We start from the raw sequence: 17,711 nt of genomic DNA on the forward strand, positions 1-17,711 counted from the left end.
GCCAGGAGTTTGGGACCAGCCTGGGCAACATAGCAAGATCCCGACTCTACAAATTAAAAGAAAAAGAAGAAAGAAAACTCGAGCCAGAAGAATGGAGGGTAGATTCAGGGTGGGACTCCCAGACTGTTTGGGGTGGCCTAAAGCCTATAGGATCGAAGTGAGACGCGAGACAGGACTTCCAGCCACCTAAAGCGGGTCCGAGCAGCTTGAGGCTGGATTCCAAGTGACACTTCCCTCAGGCAGCTTGGGATGCAGCTTGGAGGACTGAGTGGGCTCGGGGAGGGAGTTCCAGCAGGCCACGGGGAACCCAGGACAGCCTGAGGACGGAGGCACAGCCAGACGCACCAAGGGGGGCGACCCAGAGGGGTTGCTCGAGCGCCGTCACCCAGGGCCAGGGGGCGTGGCCTGAATGGGGCGTGGCCAGGGCGGGATCTGCGGTCGCATCCCGCCCCCACTCTCAGTCCCAGCGGCCGCCAGACCCGCCGGAGTTGGACCCGAGCACGCCGCGGAGCCCGGACCCTCCCTCGGACGCTCTGCCCCGGCCATGGCGTCGCTGCTGCCACTGCTCTGTCTCTGTGTCGTCGCTGCGCACCTGGCGGGGGCCCGAGGTGAGGCGCCTCCAGCCCCCGCGCCCAGCCCCTGAGGCTCCCGAGGGCCTGGCAGCCGGCCTTGGGTGAAGCCGCACTCGGGGAGAGAACCCAGGGACCCACGCGCTTCCCCGGGGACTGGGTCCCCTTCACCAGTCGGATCCCCGCGACCACCTGGGGCGCGGAGCGGGCCTCATCCATTCTCTTCCTTGGCTAAGCCGGGAGTGTGGATAAGAACCTAGGGTTCCTCCCGGGGTTTGGACTCTGAATCACCGGCCAGGTCTCCCACCCTGGACCGAAGGGGTCGGAACTGGCCCCTCCCACCTAACTCCCACACACGCACTCACTCCAACCGCTGGAGAAAGAAATGCCCATCCCTGGAACACTCAATGGGGCGGGGGACGGGCCCACTTCTCAAGTGAGGAGACTGAGGCACCCAGAAGGAAGGGGCTTGTCTGACCTCATCACTCTGCTGGGAGTATCTTGGACAGCTCCTATCTTGGAGAAGCCAGTCTAGATTCCAAGGACTTCCCGGCAGCTCGGACTGTAGTACAGGGATGGAAGACAGACTAAGGGAGGGGCTTCCAGCAGGCCAAGTGGATGAGGGGGAGCCCAGCCTGAGGGCAGAGGCACAGCCAGCTGAACTTGATTGATCTCGCGGCAGCTGAACATAGTGGGAGGGAGACTCTAGCCTAGGGGAACTGGGTGGTACTTGCACTTCCCCAGCCGGGGGGTTAGGGCTAGGTCAGAGAGAGGTACCTGGCTTTGGGGGCCTGGTGGTGGTCATGGGCAGCGCGCTGGAGGAGAGTGTATGGCAGCCCTTGGGGCTAGAGCTGGGTTCTGGCCTCTCAGAGCCTCAATTTTCCCTCCTGTTAAAATGGGGATCATGGGCCAAGCACGGTGGCTCACGCCTGTAATCCCAGCACTTTGGGAGGCCGAGGCGGGCGGACTACCTGAGGTCAGGAGTTTGAGACCAACCTGGCCAACATGGTGAAACCCCGTCTCTACTAAAAATATAAAAATTAGCTAGGCCTGGTGGAGCGTGCCTGTAATCCCAGCTACTCAGGAGGCTGAGGTGTGAGAATCACTTGAACCCAGGAGGCAGAGGCTGCAGTGAGCCGAGATCGTGCCACTGCACTCCAGCCTGGGTGACAGAGGGAGATTCCGTCTCAAAAAAAAAAAAAAAAAGGGGGGGGATGATCGTGGCTGCACCTTGCCTAAAAGGAGGCTCCCAGCGGTCCCCATCAGTAGCAGCGTGCTTCCTTCTCCCCACTCCTCACCCACAGACGCCACCCCCACCGAGGAGCCAATGGCGACTGCACTGGGCCTGGAAAGACGGTCCGTGTACACCGGCCAGCCCTCACCAGCCCTGGAGGACTGGGAAGGTGAGTTAGCCTGCCTCGGAGTCCCGTCTCTGCTGCGGGCTTGTTGGGGGTGGGGCTTGGGCTACTGGGGTCGTGTGAGGAGAGGGCACACACTAGACGAAGGGCCCGGCGCCGTCCTGGTCCCCGGACATGACAGCCCCTGGAGGTGATGCCCCAAGTTCAAGATCTAAGTGAGAGGCCGGTCAGACAGAGGCAAGAGCTCAGCGCACCGGGATGGACCAGGTCAGGCCCTGGGCGGCAGAACTGGGGTCGCGGGGAACCCAGTCTGCCCTGCACCTGTTTCAGGCCGCTGGCTCGGGTCGTGGGCGCGCTCGGCTAGCCGGTGCCCACCGGGGGAGGGGGCTGAGACAGCAAGTAAGGCCTTTGCACGCATGCATGGGGGCCTACAGGCCGCCGCCCTGGTCCCAGCGCGTGCGGTGCCCGCAGAGGCCAGCGAGTGGACGTCCTGGTTCAACGTGGACCACCCCGGAGGCGACGGCGACTTCGAGAGCCTGGCTGCCATCCGCTTCTACTACGGGCCAGCGCGCGTGTGCCCGCGACCGCTGGCGCTGGAAGCGCGCACCACGGACTGGGCCCTGCCGTCCGCCGTCGGCGAGCGCGTGCACTTGAACCCCACGCGCGGCTTCTGGTGCCTCAACCGCGAGCAACCGCGTGGCCGCCGCTGCTCCAACTACCACGTGCGCTTCCGCTGCCCACTAGGTGAGGGCGGGGCTGGATGACGGGGGCGGGGCTTTGAATGGGCGGGGCTGGCGAACGCCGGGAAGAGTCGTGGTGGGTGGGGCTGGGAGGGGCAGGACCGTGTGGGTGTGGGCGTGGCTGGGAAGAGCCGGGGGACCCTTAGGCGTAGGACGACGTCAGGGGGCGGGGCCAGGCAGGGCGGGGCTTTTGAAGAGAGGCGCTGGGAACAGCGCGGGGCCCAAGTGCACCGTCAGGAGGCCCAGCGGGTCAGGACCCATGTCCGGCCCCCTGGAACGCATCTCCCTCCCGCTGCCCTCATTTGAGCATCTGTAAGAGCTCAGTTCTGTGGAGTGTCTTGAGCCCAAATGCGTGCAGGATGCAGGGAGAAAAGCAGGACTGATCCCCGGGACCTTATGCGGGGGTGGGGAGGTGGGTCGGTACCTAAACTATGTCTTCGACAGGCGCGCCTAGGGGAGCATGGGTGGGGGCGATGGCAGATCTGCTCTCTGGAGTGTCCGCCCTTGGATGCACATATGTGAGGGGGTTGGGGAAGAAGGGTCCTTTAGTCCCAGGTTACCCGGAGGCGCAGTTCCTGGGGAGGGCGGCCACCTGATCTCCGTCCCTGCCTTCCGCAGAAGCCTCGTGGGGCGCGTGGGGCCCGTGGGGTCCCTGCTCGGGGAGCTGTGGGCCAGGCCGTCGCTTGCGCCGCCGCCACTGCCCAAGCCCCGCTGGGGATGCGTGTCCCGGGCGTCCTCTGGAGGCGCAGAAGTGCGTGCGGCCTCGGTGTCCAGGTAGGAGGGGCGGGGTCTGGAGGCTGGGACCTGTACAGAGGGGAGGAAGGGGAGGTTAGGGGCTGAGCCTGGGAGAGAGGGTGGAGTTAGAGGCGGTGCCTGGATGTAGAGAGGCAGTGCTTCTCCTGAGCGATGCCTAGAGGGGAGGAGCTAGTTGGGGGCGGGGCCTCGTGGACGGGGCTGTGAAGGGCGGGGCCTGGTGCGGGGGCGGAGCCTGGAGGACCCAAACTCTGGAGCCAGGTGGAGACCAGCCCTTCCTTCCCTCCTGGGCCCAAGGAGCACTGGTAACTATGCACATCTGGACAGGTGGATGCCAGGGGGCTCTTGTGCAGGCAGACATGGGCAGATAGGAGGGGGTGCTTCCCCTGTGTGCATTCCAGACTGTACAGATGTCTTCGTGGGGAAACAGAATTCAGTTCATGCACTCAGGGTGCACACGTGCATGGCATTTGCAGCCCCCACCCCGGTCCCCCACGCCCACACAGACACCCGCTCACAGCCTGGCAGACATGATGCCTAGGCCCTCCCAGGGCCAGACACCGGGCAAGCCAGGAGGAGACTGGAAATTCCGCTAGCGCCTGGGCTCCACAAACACGGCCTGGAGGCTGCTCCGGGGAGCCCGTCACAGGGTGGGGGCACATGGTGGCCAATGGGGCGTTGGGGTCCCCACCCCATCGCGCCTGGCTCTGCTCTCCCGGTGCCTGTGCCCTGAAGTTTCCAGTGGAATTTTCCATTTTATGGAGAAACCGCAGGATTGGGAAGGGGGGCAGTTGTTCTCAGCCCAAGATCCAGCCCCTTACTGGGCCCCCAGCCCCTGTCCAGACATTTTCTCTTCTGCTGGAAAGGGCAGTGCCATATTTTGAGACTTACCTCTCCTGTCCCCTCCTATAGGACCTCTTCCCTACGTCTCTGGATCCCAGTTCCTATGCCCTGGCCCAGTCCTGACCACTTAGCCCATCTCCCCTTCACACTAGGGACTGCTCCAAGCAGGGCCATGCTGAGGCCTCTGAGAGGCACCTTATGGGGGGGCCCCAGGCATATTTGTTGAGTGACTGATTGAATGGAAAGCCCTCCTCAGGAGGGAGTGTGAAGGTTTCTCTGTCCTGCTTCCTCTCCATATCCCCCCAGGGTGCAGCCTTGACACCTGTGAATGCCCGGACCACATCCTCCTGGGCTCGGTGGTCACCCCATCTGGGCAACCACTGCTAGGAGCCAGGGTCTCCCTGCGAGACCAGCCTGGCACTGTGGCCACCAGCGATGCTCACGGAACCTTCCGGGTGCCTGGTGTCTGTGCTGACAGCCGCGCCAACATCAGGGCCCAGATGGATGGCTTCTCTGCAGGGGAGGCCCAGGCCCAGGCCAACGGATCCATCTCTGTGGTCACCATCATCCTTGATAAGTTGGGTAAGCACCCTTGCAACATGGGGCATGAAGGGGCTGAGGATCTGGGGAGGAAGTTCTAGCACTCGATCAAGAGAGGAAGAAATGAGATGTGACACAGTCATTGGCGAAGGCACAGAGTGAGTCGGCATTTCTGGGAGAAAGGAGAGGATGGGGACGTTGCTCCTAGGAAGGGTGGGTGGGAGAAGCTCTGATCTTTACCACCTTTGACCCCAGAGAAGCCGTACCTGGTGAAACACCCTGAGTCCCGAGTGCGAGAGGCTGGCCAGAATGTGACTTTCTGCTGCAAAGCCTCCGGGACCCCCATGCCCAAGAAATACTCCTGGTGAGCGCCCGCCCCGGGCTCAGGGGCATCTTCTGTGGCTTTGGGGTTAGATTCAATTTCATGTTGTTATGTGGTTTCCCATCTGGAGAGTGGGGAAAGCGTTAACGGGGAATGAATTGGGTGGGAGAGGGACTACCAAGGAGGCTGAATGGGGCCAGTCTTGCTGGGGAGGAGGCTGACTTTGGCAAAGCCTCTCTGCAGCTCCCCAGCCTGCAGACTGGGGGCAACACAGCCCCTCCCACTGAGTCCTATGGTGTCGCTCACCTGCCATCCAGGTTCCACAATGGGACCCTGCTGGACAGGCGAGCTCATGGGTACGGGGCCCACCTGGAGCTGCGGGGACTGCGCCCAGACCAGGCTGGCATCTACCACTGCAAGGCATGGAATGAGGCGGGTGCCGTGCGCTCGGGCACTGCCCGGCTCACTGTACTTGGTGAGTGTCCTTGGCCACAGCCCCGAGCAAGCCTTCACCCAAACGGAACCCGGACTGTAGCTAAGCTCAACCCCAAATGGAGCCCCCACTTCAGACTGATCCAATCCTAGGCCTCCACTGAGCCCCCATACCACTCTGAGCACCAACCTTCAGTCCTTACCCTGGGCAGACCCCTGTCCCTTAGGTGGAGTCCTTGACTGCAGACAGAGTCCCCAGCCTTGGCCTCCATGAAGTCCTCCTCCCTGCCCTGACCTGCATGTTTTCTTTGTCCCCAGCCCCAGGCCAGCCAGCCTGCGACCCCCGGCCCCGAGAGTACCTGATCAAGCTCCCTGAGGACTGTGGTCAGCCAGGTAGTGGCCCTGCCTACCTGGATGTGGGCCTCTGTCCCGACACCCGCTGCCCCAGCCTGGCAGGCTCCAGCCCCCGCTGCGGGGACGCCAGCTCCCGCTGCTGCTCTGTGCGCCGTCTGGAGAGAAGGGAGATTCACTGCCCTGGCTACGTCCTCCCAGTGAAGGTGGTGGCAGAGTGTGGCTGCCAGAAGTGTCTGCCCCCTCGGGGGCTGGTCCGGGGCCGTGTTGTGGCTGCTGACTCCGGGGAGCCGCTACGCTTCGCCAGGATTCTGCTGGGCCAGGAGCCCATCGGCTTCACCGCCTACCAGGGCGACTTTACCATTGAGGTGCCGCCCTCCACCCAGCGGCTGGTGGTGACTTTTGTGGACCCCAGCGGTGAGTTCATGGACGCTGTCCGGGTCTTGCCTTTTGATCCTCGAGGTGCCGGCGTGTACCACGAGGTCAAGGCCATGCGGAAGAAAGCCCCGGTCATTTTACATACCAGCCAGAGCAACACGATCCCCCTGGGCGAGCTGGAAGATGAGGCGCCCCTGGGCGAGCTGGTCCTGCCTTCTGGCGCTTTCCGCAGAGCCGACGGCAAACCCTACTCGGGGCCTGTGGAGGCCCGGGTGACGTTCGTGGACCCCCGAGACCTCACCTCGGCGGCGTCTGCCCCCAGTGACCTGCGCTTCGTGGACAGCGACGGCGAGCTGGCTCCACTGCGCACCTACGGCATGTTCTCCGTGGACCTCCGTGCGCCCGGCTCCGCGGAGCAGCTGCAGGTGGGGCCGGTGGCCGTGCGGGTGGCCGCCAGCCAGATCCACATGCCAGGCCACGTGGAGGCCCTCAAGCTGTGGTCGCTGAACCCCGAGACCGGCTTGTGGGAGGAGGAGAGCGGCTTCCGGCGCGAGGGGTCCTCGGGCCCCCGGGTGCGCCGGGAGGAGCGCGTCTTCCTGGTGGGCAACGTGGAGATCCGGGAGCGGCGCCTGTTCAATCTGGACGTGCCTGAGCGCCGCCGCTGCTTCGTGAAGGTGCGCGCCTACGCCAACGACAAGTTCACCCCCAGCGAGCAGGTGGAGGGCGTGGTGGTCACGCTGGTCAATCTGGAGCCCGCCCCCGGCTTCTCCGCCAACCCCCGTGCCTGGGGCCGCTTTGACAGCGCGGTCACCGGCCCCAATGGCGCCTGCCTCCCCGCCTTCTGCGACGCCGACAGGCCAGACGCCTACACCGCCCTGGTCACCGCCACCCTGGGCGGCGAGGAGCTGGAGCCGGCCCCTTCCTTGCCCCGCCCACTCCCGGCCACCGTGGGCGTCACCCAGCCCTACCTGGACAGGCTGGGGTACCGTCGGACGGACCACGACGATCCCGCCTTCAAGCGTAACGGCTTCCGCATCAACCTCGCCAAGCCCAGGCCAGGTGACCCCGCCGAGGCCAATGGGCCTGTGTACCCGTGGCGCAGCCTGCGGGAATGCCAGGGGGCCCCGGTGACTGCCAGCCACTTCCGCTTCGCCAGGGTGGAGGCGGACAAGTACGAGTACAACGTGGTCCCCTTCCGAGAGGGCACACCTGCCTCCTGGACTGGCGATCTCCTGGCCTGGTGGCCCAACCCGCAGGAGTTCCGGGCCTGCTTCCTCAAGGTGAAGATCCAGGGTCCCCAGGAGTATATGGTCCGCTCCCACAACGCAGGGGGCAGCCACCCACGCACCCGCGGCCAGCTCTACGGACTTCGGGATGCCCGGAGTGTGCGAGACCCCGAGCGTCCGGGCACCTCGGCAGCCTGCGTGGAGTTCAAGTGCAGCGGGATGCTGTTCGACCAGCGGCAGGTGGACAGGACGCTGGTGACCATTATGCCCCAGGGCAGCTGCCGGCGCGTGGCCGTCAACGGACTCCTTCGGGATTACCTGACCCGGCACCCCCCACCGGTGCCCGCGGAGGACCCAGCTGCCTTCTCCATGCTGGCCCCCCTAGACCCTCTGGGCCACAACTATGGCGTCTACACTGTCACTGACCAGAGCCCACGCTTGGCCAAGGAGATCGCCATTGGCCGCTGCTTTGATGGTTCCTCTGACGGCTTCTCCAGAGAGATGAAGGCTGATGCCGGCACAGCCGTCACCTTCCAGTGCCGGGAGCCACCGGCCGGACGACCCAGCCTCTTCCAGAGGCTGCTGGAGTCCCCGGCGACAGCACTTGGTGACATCCGCAGGGAGATGAGCGAGGCGGCGCAGGCACAGGCCCGGGCCTCAGGTCCCCTCCGCACCCGCCGGGGTAGGGTCCGGCAGTGACCTGGGCAGGGGCCTCGCTTTCCCACCTCCCTCCAGACTCCTTTGACCCCAGGAAGTTTTGCCCCTCCTTCTTCTCCAGACAGCCCCCTCCCCAGGTGTCTGGGTCCCCTTTCCCGCCCCTTTCCAGAACTCAGAGTCAGACAAGAACCCAGAGCATCCGATGGTAGAAACACCAGGAAGACAATTGTTGCTGTGTGGTATGGAATGGAGTTTGCGGTGACTCTGGGGCCAGCACCCAGGGGACGACGTTCAACCCTAGCCTGAAGGGACCCGCTCCCAGCTCAGAAGCCGTCTCTGACTTCTCGTGCGTATTTTGACCCTGATTTCAATCTTCTACCCTTGGGAGTTCTGGCGTTTGGCACAAAGTCCCCTCTGCCTGTTTGGAGCTCAGTGCTAGACCAGGTCCCCTGCCCCGAGCTTTGTTTTTGGGGTTATTTATTGAAACAAAGTGTGGGGAGCTGGTTGTGGGTGTGAGTGGGGGTGTGGGGTCCAGGCTGGGCCCAGTGAAAAGGAGGAAGGGGTTCCCATGCGGGGGAGGCTCTGGGGCTGAGGGGAACAATTCTCACGTGTTTGGTGCTTAGAGACCTGCCCGGGGCGTTGGGCAGGCCCTCCGGGGGCTGAATTAAAAATGCTTTATTTCCAACTCATGGTGTCAGGCTCTAGGGAGGAAGGATGGAGGCTGGGGCTGCCCGGCCCAGATACACCTTTCAGGCAGAAACACGCGGAGGCACACGCGGGTGCCGGGGGCAAGAAGCACGGGCGGCTGTGACCGCTGAACACAGTGGCAGCCTGCTGCTCTGGCCTGGACTCCTTGGCTGTGCCTGGCCGTATGCCCCGGGGCTACAGCAGGCAGGGAGGGGCCCTGGCAGGGGAGCCTCTGGGGCAGGCAACAGCAAGCCAGGCCACCCTGGACCTCCTCAGTCGAGTCCACAGCAGCCCCACCCTGGGCCCCACCCACCTGAACCCCGGCCACACCTCGGTCATGTGGCGACGGGGCTGCCCGAGGCCAGGGCTTTCTGACCTTGCCAGGACCCTGGGTCTGGAGGCGGCAGAATCACGGCTGGCTGGCAGTCTGTGTGCACGTGTGTCCTCCTGGCGCTCCACAGGGCCGGCGCTGTCCTGACCACACCCCCACTGTCCAGACAGAAAAACTGAAGTCCTGGGGTCTGGCATGAATCCCAGCAGGTTTGAGCCCCCTATAGCTCTAGGTGTGTGATTCCCCAGGGTCTGGGGATGAAGGCATCAATGTGGCAAGACTGGAGTGGCCTCCAGGGCACCTGGGATGGGAGACTTGTCCCTGGCTGACACCCCCTAGGGAGTGGGGGTATGGAGCGTCCCTTAGCTTAGGGGGCAACCACCCACTTCCTCTTCAATCTCCCACCCATTCACTGGCTCCCCTCTCCAGACCCCCGATCTCATCATTCACCCATCCAGCATTTAGAGGTGTGAGCTCTGCACTAGCAACTTCAGGGGACCTGAGAGAGCCTATCTCTCTAGGGGGAGACAGGCTCACACGTGCATACCCCAATATGCCCTGGGCCAGTGCTCCACCCAGAGGGTCCCTGGCTCTTGTCCACTGGCCACATCCCCCCTTCGGCTGAGGTCTTGGCAAATCCGAACCTCCGCAGCTCTCACCCTTTCAGTCAGGGAAACACTTCCTTTGCCCTAGGGTGGACTTGGGGGCCTGGAGGCATGGGAGAAGCCCAAGATGCGAGGCGTCACCCCTGGTCTCTGAAGGTGGGCCCTAAGGGCTCTGCTGGAGTTTGGGTTTGGGCAGCCCCAGACATTGGCACCCCAGCCTCACCCTCGATAGGCTGTGACAGGCAAGAGAGGCGAGAGGTCCCTGAGGGAGCTGGCAGGGCTTGGGAGAACACACATTTATCCAGAACTTACTGTCTCTATACCCCCAGCTGATAGGCTCAGAGGCACAGGCCCCTCCCAAGGCAACCTAGGTTCCCGGCCTGCCTGCCACAGAACCCTGCTCAGGGCTGCCTGGTGGGGGTCCTGGGGAGGGGTGGGAATGGGGGCGCTCCCACTTGAAGCGGGCAAAGCTGGCTGCAGCTTTCCAGGCGGAGGGTGATGAGGTGTCAGGCTCCACGGCCAAATACCTTTCATTGAGAAAGTGTTGGGGCCTCCGACGCTGCCAGGCTAGGGCGGCCAGCCAGGCATGGAGCGGGCAGCTGGCCCAGCCCTGTCCCCTTCCCTAGGGTGGGGCAGGGGTGGACGGGCATCCTCCAGAAGCCCCCTCCCCAGTCACCACGCCTGGGCCAGGAAGGGCATCTCAGGAGGAGGACATGGCTGAAGCAAAAGCTGGGCAGGGCACGGGGCTAGAGTCCAGCTCCTCCCCATCCCTGCTGATAACTCTGCAAGAGGGCAGCGTTTGGCCACAATTTCCAGATGAGGAAACTGAGGCTCCAAGAGAAGGACGCCATCAACCTGAGTCAACAGCCTTGTGCCTCTTGACACTGCCTGTCTCCCCCAACTGCAGCCCTCAAGCCAGGAATCCCACCCCCTCCCTCCTGGAACCTGGGCTACCGTCCGCCTCCTGGTAAATCCATTGTCTACCCCCCAACCAAATTGGGGCTGCCAGACCACACCCCCTCAGTCTGGGAGGAGTGAGGGGCAGGGGACCCCCTCGAAGAGACCCCCAGCTGCAGCCACCCTGGGTCAGCTCAGGGCACAAACAGGCCCTTGGTCCCGCCCACGGCATTTTAGACTTTTATAATTTTAGAACCAGGGGTTCTTAAAATTCCTAGCACCATGATGGGGAAAAAATCTTGGAACAGTAAAATGTTTAAAACAAGAGTCTTCAAACCACAGAATCCAAGAGGAGGGAGATAAAAATGAACACACATTGAGCGTTGACTGACTGTAAGCCCTCCGAGCCAGCCCCCGCAAAGCCTAACTCACTTTAAGGGCATTTAGTATAAATCTGTTGCCTTGGGATCCCCAAAATATGCTTTTAGGGAGGATGATTTTTACCCCCATTCCACAGCTGGAGGAATCTTCTCAGGGTCACACAGCAAATGGGGTACTGTGGGCTGGGGAAGGGCAATGTTTCCTGGAGAAGGGGACATAAGCACTGGGTCTTGAAGGATGTGTAGGAGTTTGCTGGGTGGCCAAGGCAGGAAGGGCATACCAGGGAGCTGGAAAGGTGAACGTGAAAGCTGGAGGAGGGAGACCCACGGAGGGCGGCAGTAGAAGGGAGACACAAAGTGGAGGTGAGCAGGGGCTCGAATGCTGAGTGAGGAGCCTGAGTTCTCTGGTGAGCAATAGGGAGCTATGGGTTGTGCTGAAGCAGGAGAAGGTTACACAATATCTCGTGACAAAGACTCCCCTGGAGCTGGTGCAGGACTCAGCTTCTTACAACATGCTTCTTTCACGGAACTGGGGTCTGCTCCCTCCTACTTGGGGGCCCTTCCAGGGTCCAAACCCTGCAGCCCAGCGCCCTCTCCCCGCCAGCTGCCTCCTGTCCTGGCTGAACATCCCTGGCTCCTCCATTGGGGCCTCGTGGACCTGGCGTGGCCACCCACCACTTCCCTAGCCCCGTCTGTCTCTCTCATCAGCCCTCAGAGTTGGGTCTGACCCAGCCTCAGACCCCAAAGACTGGAGCCAGCCTGGCGGGGAGACCTGGCTTTGGTCAGGTGGGGGAAGTGCTTGTGCTTTAATGGTGGAAACAAAGGCAGGATGCCACAGGGTGAGAGCAGACCAGGAGAATGCCATGTCCCGATGCCTCAGCCCTCCCAGGGCAGGAGCTAAGTCTAGACCCCTGGGCCGAGGGTGGAGGGGGTCTGGGCAGGCAGGAGGGAGGAGACCCCGGCCATCGGGGAATCAGCAGACCCTGAGGTTTGGAGGTGGATGCAGGGAAACAAACACTACCCTAGGCAGGGCGAGTGTGTCACACAGAGCCAGACACGCCTGTCATCGATCTCGAGGTCACGCTGCCCTCGTCACGCCCCATCCCTGTCCCCTGTAGTCAGGGGCATGACTCCCTCCTTCCCATACTTCCTAGCCAACTTCTCGTCACCTGATTGGTGACACTGTCACCCTCAGGACAGCCACATAGGCAGTTGCACTCGAAAAGAGCATGAGCCCAGACACACCAGACCCATGGGACACGCTGGACACTGTCCCCCCTCATCACAGCAGCACGGGTAGACAGATGCACCCTCAACACAGAGAAAGGCCCACGCTTAGGGTCAGGTAGCGGTGCCTGCAGCTGCGTGCACCTGTGCATACCTGTGCACACCTGTGCGCACCTGTGCCCAGCTCCCCTTTGACTCACCCATCATCACCCCACACATCGGGACACACTTGACCCCCAGACTCCCAGCTGGCCAGTCTCAACCCCCCACGACCCTCCACAACTCAGCCCCACCAGGCACATGAAGCCATGCCGAGCACAGGCAGCACCTCCCACTCTCTCGGGGCCCTGGGGAGCGGGTCGGCCCTGGGGCTGGGGACTGGCGGGAGGCCTCAAGGTCCCAGCCACTTTTCCAGGGAAGTCCTGAATCCCTTCCTGCTGACTCAGCCCTGGGGGCTGGCTAGGCTGGGGGCTGCCAAACCTCAGGTATGTCCTTGAAGGCTGCCTGGCGGGGCCTCTGAGGTGGGGGCGGGGGCTCCCACTCGGGACTCAGTCCTTCCCTGGGCCCCAGCCTCCCTCCTTGCCCCAGATGGAGCTGCAGCTTTAACCGTGGCGTTCAGGGCATGGGGCCAGCACGATGGAGCCTGAGGCCGGCTGCTCCCACCCCAGTTCCTCCCGGCTGAGGGTTGGTGGAAGAATAAGCTCCCAGCCCAGCCAGAGTATCCCAGCCTGACTGTGGCCTCATAAAGACAGCACTGTCTGGTGGGAGGTGGCCTGGCTGCCCATCCTGGGGCCCAGCACAGGGACCCATGCACACACAGTGGGCACACACGTACCCATGTGATGGCTACATGCAGACCTGTGGATACAGATGTGCATCATCAGACACAAACTCAGCACCAGGACTGGCCCCCACAGAACCCCAGTCAGGAGGGGGAGGCAGCACTGGCCACAGATACTCCAGTCTGCAGGGCCAAGGTTGGCCAGCCCAAAGGCCAGGGGCTGGGAAAACCCAGAGGAGGGCCCAGGGAAGGCTTTCTGGAAGAGAGGGCATTTTGACTTGGGCTTTGAAGGGTGAGTAGGAGTTTACCAAACCAAGCTCAGATGTCCAAAAGTCTTAATGCTGGTTTTGAGGTTTACCTTTTGTCTGTGAGGATGTTGGGCAGGGGAGGGAGACAGACAAACCCCAATTCACTACCTCCTTTTGAGGACCCAGCCTCTGCCCTCAGGGAGCTTCCAGTCAGATAGGGGAGGCAGCACTGACTCAGCCAGGAGGGATAGAAGATACTTCAGCTGTGTGAAGCACCTGTCGTGTGTTGGGTTGGATCCTGTCAAAAACCCATAGGGAAAATTCTATTATGATCCCCATTTTACAGCTGAGAAAACTGAGGCTGAGAGCGGGACATACCTTGCTCAGGGCCCACAGGGAAGCAGAGCTGTTCACACACAGCCCTGGTTGCTGACGTGCAATTGTGGCTGCTGACCTGGTCCCAAACCAACTCAAAAGTTTGCGGGCCAGAATGGTGCAGCTCAAAGAAGTCTGCGTTGGCAAAAGTTGCATCTTTGCACCTGGAATCCTGGCCAGGCCGGGAGGCCCCTCCTCCCGGGACATACAAGATCCCCCTGGGACTTCTCAGCGAGATCATCCCCTGTCCTTTGTTATCTGGCTGCTGAGTGGCTTTCACGGGGCAGGGGCTTCTAGGCAGAGGGATGTTGGAGTGAGGGCCTGGGGGTGCTTCGCCAGGACTTCTGGGAGGCCTGGGTCCCCAGCCTCGGCCCCGCTTGCCATCTGGCCCAGCTGAACACAAACACTTGGACATGGCCGACCCAACGGAATCTGGGTTGTGGTCAGGCCGTGGCTGAAAAAGCCACTGGAAAAACACGCAGCCCACGGGGCCAGGCCCAGCTTACGTTTCACCAGGGAGGAGTGGCCTGCTCGGCGCCCAGAGCCGAGGAATGTCCGTTCTCTAACCCTTTGGAACTTGTTGTCTGACTGGGGAATCCAGCAGCTGGGCGGTGCCATCCTTAGTGCCCTCTGGTCAGGCTGTGACTTACCTCCTGCTGTGTTCTTGGAGACTCAGGCCTCTTGGCGTGGCCCCCTGGCCCAGCCCCTGGCCAGCCACTGCTGAAGACCCCTTGTCAGCTTGCACACCCCTGAAGACAGAGGGCTCACTCCCTTCCAGCTGTCATGCCAGGCAGCCGGAAGCCTGTTAACTAGGCTGATTTTTTTTTTTTGAGACAGATTCTTGCTTTGTCGCCCAGGCTGGAGTGCAGTGGCACGATCTCGGCTCACTGCAAGCTCCGAACTAGGCTGATTTTTTATGGGAAATTCGGGCTTCCTTGGCCACACAGATGGGAGGTCAGTGCAGCCTGGGCACTCCCTCCTTTCCCTGGGGTTCCACCTCCTTCTGGATCTCCGGATGTCCCCTCAGGCCCCTAGGATCAGCAGGTCCCAGTGGACCCCAGTATCTCACTGCGAAACGTGTTCCTCACCCTGCAGCCATGTCTCAGGGTTATCCATCTGTCTGTCTGCCCTGCGCCGCGGGCAGGGCTGGTGGCCCACACATCCACTGAGTGCCCACTGGATGCGGAAGCACCTCACTTGCATCTCCTCACTGACCTCTCCCGGGGAGGCTGGTCCCATTAGTGCTCCACTTTGCGGGGGAGGGCCGGGGGGGCGGTGTGGGGAAACAGAAGCTCAGGGGGTTTCTTTTACGTCCTGAAGATGTGGTGGCAGATTCTGGAAGTAGGAGCCAGTTCCCCACTGGCTCCAGGACAAGGGCCTGGGAAACCTCGTTTGTCAGGCCGGGACAACGCCTGGTGGCCAAAGGGGGAGCTGCAGCCTGGGCCATGGGGGTGCCTGCTGCAGTGTCCCTAGCTTAAGGCTGGCTTGGGTTACTTCTCTGCTCAAACACCCTCCATGGCTCCCGTAGTCTCCTCAGCGGGCACAGGGGTGCTAGATGAGCCCCTCCTGGGTCATTACAGAGACTCCTGACTGCAAAATCTTGCCTCTTGGGTCAGACCTAAGCCCTGTCCTCACTCAACCTCACAGCCTGTTTCCCCAGCTGGGGAATAAACCAACAATGGCCTTTGCCTCTTCAGGAACTGGTGACTGCAAGGCTGGCATGGGTTAGGCGCTCTGTAATTGCAATTGTCACCCTCAGTAACGCACAGGAGAGGGGCAGGGACTTGAGCTGGGGTGTCCCAGGCAGCCTCAACCACCCTCCCTCAGCAATCGCTACCCGCCCCCCCGCCCAGGACAAGGCATCTGAATCAGGGCCTCAATTTCCTCCCCAGAGTGTGGGGGCCTCCAAACTTTATCGAGGGTCCTAGTGTGTTAGGTCTTGAAATGCCCCCTGGAGTCGTAGGGGAACAGAAATGTTCACTAGGGAGTGGGTATAGGGCCTTGCCAAGCACTGATGAAGGGGCCCTAGAAACTTCCATCTTTTTTTTTTTGAGACAGAGTCTGGCTCTGTCACCCAGGCTGGAGTGCAGTGGTGCAATCTCGGCTCACTGCAACCTCCACCTCCCGGGTTCAAGTTATTCTCCTGCCTCAGCCTCTCGAGTAGCTGGGATTACAGGTGGGCACCACCATGCCCAGCTATTTTTTGTATTTTAGTAGGGCTTCACCATGATGCCAGGCTGGTCACGAACTCCCGACCTCAATTGATCTGCCCGCCTTGGCCTCCCAAACTGCTAGGATTACAGATGTGAGCCACCACACCCTGCCAAAACTTTCATCTTAAAACTATGAGGGAGACCTTGAAACTCTATGTGGGGGAAATTGAAACTGCATATGGGGGTCTTGAAGGTGCCACTGCACACCTTGCTTGGCCTGAGCAAACCTGCAGGTTACTTCCACCCGTGACCCACGTGGGGAGACTGACGCCAGAGACCTCCTCCCCACACACCACGCCTCTCCTCATCCCTCAACACTCTCCGGGACCCGCTTCCGTCCAAAAAACCCCCATGGGCCAGGCAGGCGTAAGGTTGCGGCCCAGGGAGGGGCAGCCCGTTCCCTAGGGCCACACGGCCCAGCCCCTTACCCCGTTACTTGGGGCAGGGGTCGATTCCGAGCCAAGGGTTGGGGCGACTGACCTAGAGTGACTGGAGCTAGGCCCGCGGCTGCCTGAGTTGCCCCATCTCTATCCCAGGAGAGGGAACCAGTGCCAGGAGGAAGACCAGGCGCCCGCCCCTGCGGACGCTCCTAGCCCCTTAGCTAAGGTCTCAGGACACCGGCTGGCGGTGAGGACGGGGCAGCTCAGGGGAAAAGAAAGCCAGGGAGGGCCGGGGGCTCCGAGGGGTTTTAGGGAGGGGTACAGCAGTTAGCCAGGCGGAGGGAATGCCAGTGCAAAGGCCCTCCCTGCGGTGGGAATGAGCTTACTCAGGGGCAGTGAGGGGTCAGCGAAGAGGGAGATGCCCGGATCCTCTTCTATTGTAAGATCGCCCCCTGGCGGCCCAGTAGAGAAGGGGCAGGGAGATGGGGCCGGTCCAACCTCCCGTCTACCCTCCAGCTCTCCCAGCCTGGCAGATGAGTGGCCCCCTTCTCCCAGCCTGGGTGTCCCCAAAGGCAAGAAGGAAAAACAGAATCCCAGACCTTGCGAGAGCACCCCTGCATGGACACAGCCGTCAGCACCTTTCTGTGCTCATGGGATTGCCACCAAGCCCTTCGAGCAGGAGCACATGTGCCCATTTTATAGAGGGGCAAATGGGCTCAGGGAGAGAGGGGAGCAAGCAGGGTGCAGAGGCAGGACTCAAACCCAAGACTCCGGCCCTGTCTGGGGCTCTGGCAGGTTGGGCTGGACCAGGTTGAGGGTGTCTGTTGGGAGCTGGAGGAGCCACTATGGGCCTGTGAGGGTCCCAGGTAGGTGGTCAAGGTGGGAGGCTGGGGAATCCAGAACGCGGGCGCAGGGGACAGTACACATCACCAGGGTTCCCTCTCTGTGCCTTGGTTTCCCTAGCACTTCGTTGAGGAAGGTGAGAACATCACTGGCTCCCTCCTCAAATGGTCCCCCACTCGTTTTGGGATCTGCTGGGGATTCTTGCTTCAATCCATGTGCCCACGGGCCACTGGGAGTCCCTACAACGCTGCCAGTGGCCCCATTTAACATGCAGGTCCCAGGTCAGGCATGGTGGCTCACACCTGTAATCCTAGCGCTTTGAGAGGCCAAGGCGGGCTTATCACCTGAGGTCAGGAGTTCAAGACCAGCCTGGCCAACATGGCAAAACCCCATCTCTACAAAAATACAAAAGTTAGCCAGGCATGAGGGCGGGCGCCTTAATCCCAGCTACTTGGGAGGCTGAGGTAGGAGAATCGCTTGAACCCGGGAGGCAGAGGTTGCAGTGAGCTGAGATCGCGCCACTGCACTCTAGCCTGGGTGACAAAGCAAGACTCCGTCTCAAAAAATTAAATAAA

The 17,711-nt window shown here is 61.8% G+C and overlaps 1 protein-coding gene across 1 annotated transcript, besides 7 other annotated features; it reads left to right on the plus strand.

Annotated features, from left to right (window-relative positions):
- Window positions 336-705: a silencer, noted in NCBI's record as "silent region_10447". NCBI's record gives its function as "represses an Ori minimal core promoter by ATAC-STARR-seq in GM12878 lymphoblastoid cells {active_cell/tissue: GM12878}" and the evidence as "EXISTENCE:reporter gene assay evidence [ECO:0000049][PMID:35858748]".
- Window positions 460-8,854, plus strand: CILP2 (cartilage intermediate layer protein 2). The gene is made up of 8 exons (NM_153221.2): window positions 460-608; window positions 1,874-1,972; window positions 2,399-2,671; window positions 3,286-3,441; window positions 4,570-4,845; window positions 5,059-5,167; window positions 5,443-5,600; window positions 5,876-8,854. Exons 1-8 carry the CDS (start codon window positions 545-547, stop codon window positions 8,209-8,211), a joined length of 3,471 nt encoding a protein of 1,156 aa, NP_694953.2. The 5' UTR covers window positions 460-544; the 3' UTR covers window positions 8,212-8,854.
- Window positions 1,798-2,460: an enhancer, noted in NCBI's record as "H3K27ac-H3K4me1 hESC enhancer chr19:19650412-19651074 (GRCh37/hg19 assembly coordinates)". NCBI's record gives its function as "activates a minimal SCP1, AML or CMV promoter by ChIP-STARR-seq in naive and primed H9 embryonic stem cells {active_cell/tissue: H9 hESC(naive and primed)}" and the evidence as "EXISTENCE:reporter gene assay evidence [ECO:0000049][PMID:30033119]".
- Window positions 3,274-3,543: a silencer, noted in NCBI's record as "silent region_10448". NCBI's record gives its function as "represses an Ori minimal core promoter by ATAC-STARR-seq in GM12878 lymphoblastoid cells {active_cell/tissue: GM12878}" and the evidence as "EXISTENCE:reporter gene assay evidence [ECO:0000049][PMID:35858748]".
- Window positions 3,274-3,669: a biological region, named in NCBI's record as "Sharpr-MPRA regulatory region 4095".
- Window positions 3,375-3,669: an enhancer, noted in NCBI's record as "tiled region #4095; K562 Activating DNase matched - State 4:PromP, and HepG2 Activating DNase unmatched - State 10:DNaseD". NCBI's record gives its function as "activates a minimal TATA promoter and a strong SV40 promoter by Sharpr-MPRA in K562 cells, with weaker activation in HepG2 cells {active_cell/tissue: HepG2 | K562}" and the evidence as "EXISTENCE:reporter gene assay evidence [ECO:0000049][PMID:27701403]".
- Window positions 7,577-8,260: an enhancer, noted in NCBI's record as "H3K27ac-H3K4me1 hESC enhancer chr19:19656191-19656874 (GRCh37/hg19 assembly coordinates)". NCBI's record gives its function as "activates a minimal SCP1, AML or CMV promoter by ChIP-STARR-seq in primed H9 embryonic stem cells {active_cell/tissue: H9 hESC(primed)}" and the evidence as "EXISTENCE:reporter gene assay evidence [ECO:0000049][PMID:30033119]".
- Window positions 14,206-14,765: an enhancer, noted in NCBI's record as "H3K4me1 hESC enhancer chr19:19662820-19663379 (GRCh37/hg19 assembly coordinates)". NCBI's record gives its function as "activates a minimal SCP1, AML or CMV promoter by ChIP-STARR-seq in naive H9 embryonic stem cells {active_cell/tissue: H9 hESC(naive)}" and the evidence as "EXISTENCE:reporter gene assay evidence [ECO:0000049][PMID:30033119]".

This window comes from Homo sapiens, chromosome 19 (assembly GCF_000001405.40).
Source record: "Homo sapiens chromosome 19, GRCh38.p14 Primary Assembly".
Lineage (NCBI taxonomy): Eukaryota > Metazoa > Chordata > Mammalia > Primates > Hominidae > Homo > Homo sapiens.

Excerpts from the sequence above, each read along its gene's own strand:
- CILP2 (NM_153221.2), top strand. The coding sequence starts at position 545 with ATGGCGTCGCTGCTGCCACTGCTCTGTCTCTGTGTCGTCGCTGCGCAC. Across the intron at positions 5,168-5,442 it reads ATGCCCAAGAAATACTCCTG|GTTCCACAATGGGACCCTGC; the intron begins GTGAGCGCCCGC and ends CCTGCCATCCAG. Across the intron at positions 5,601-5,875 it reads TGCCCGGCTCACTGTACTTG|CCCCAGGCCAGCCAGCCTGC; the intron begins GTGAGTGTCCTT and ends CTTTGTCCCCAG.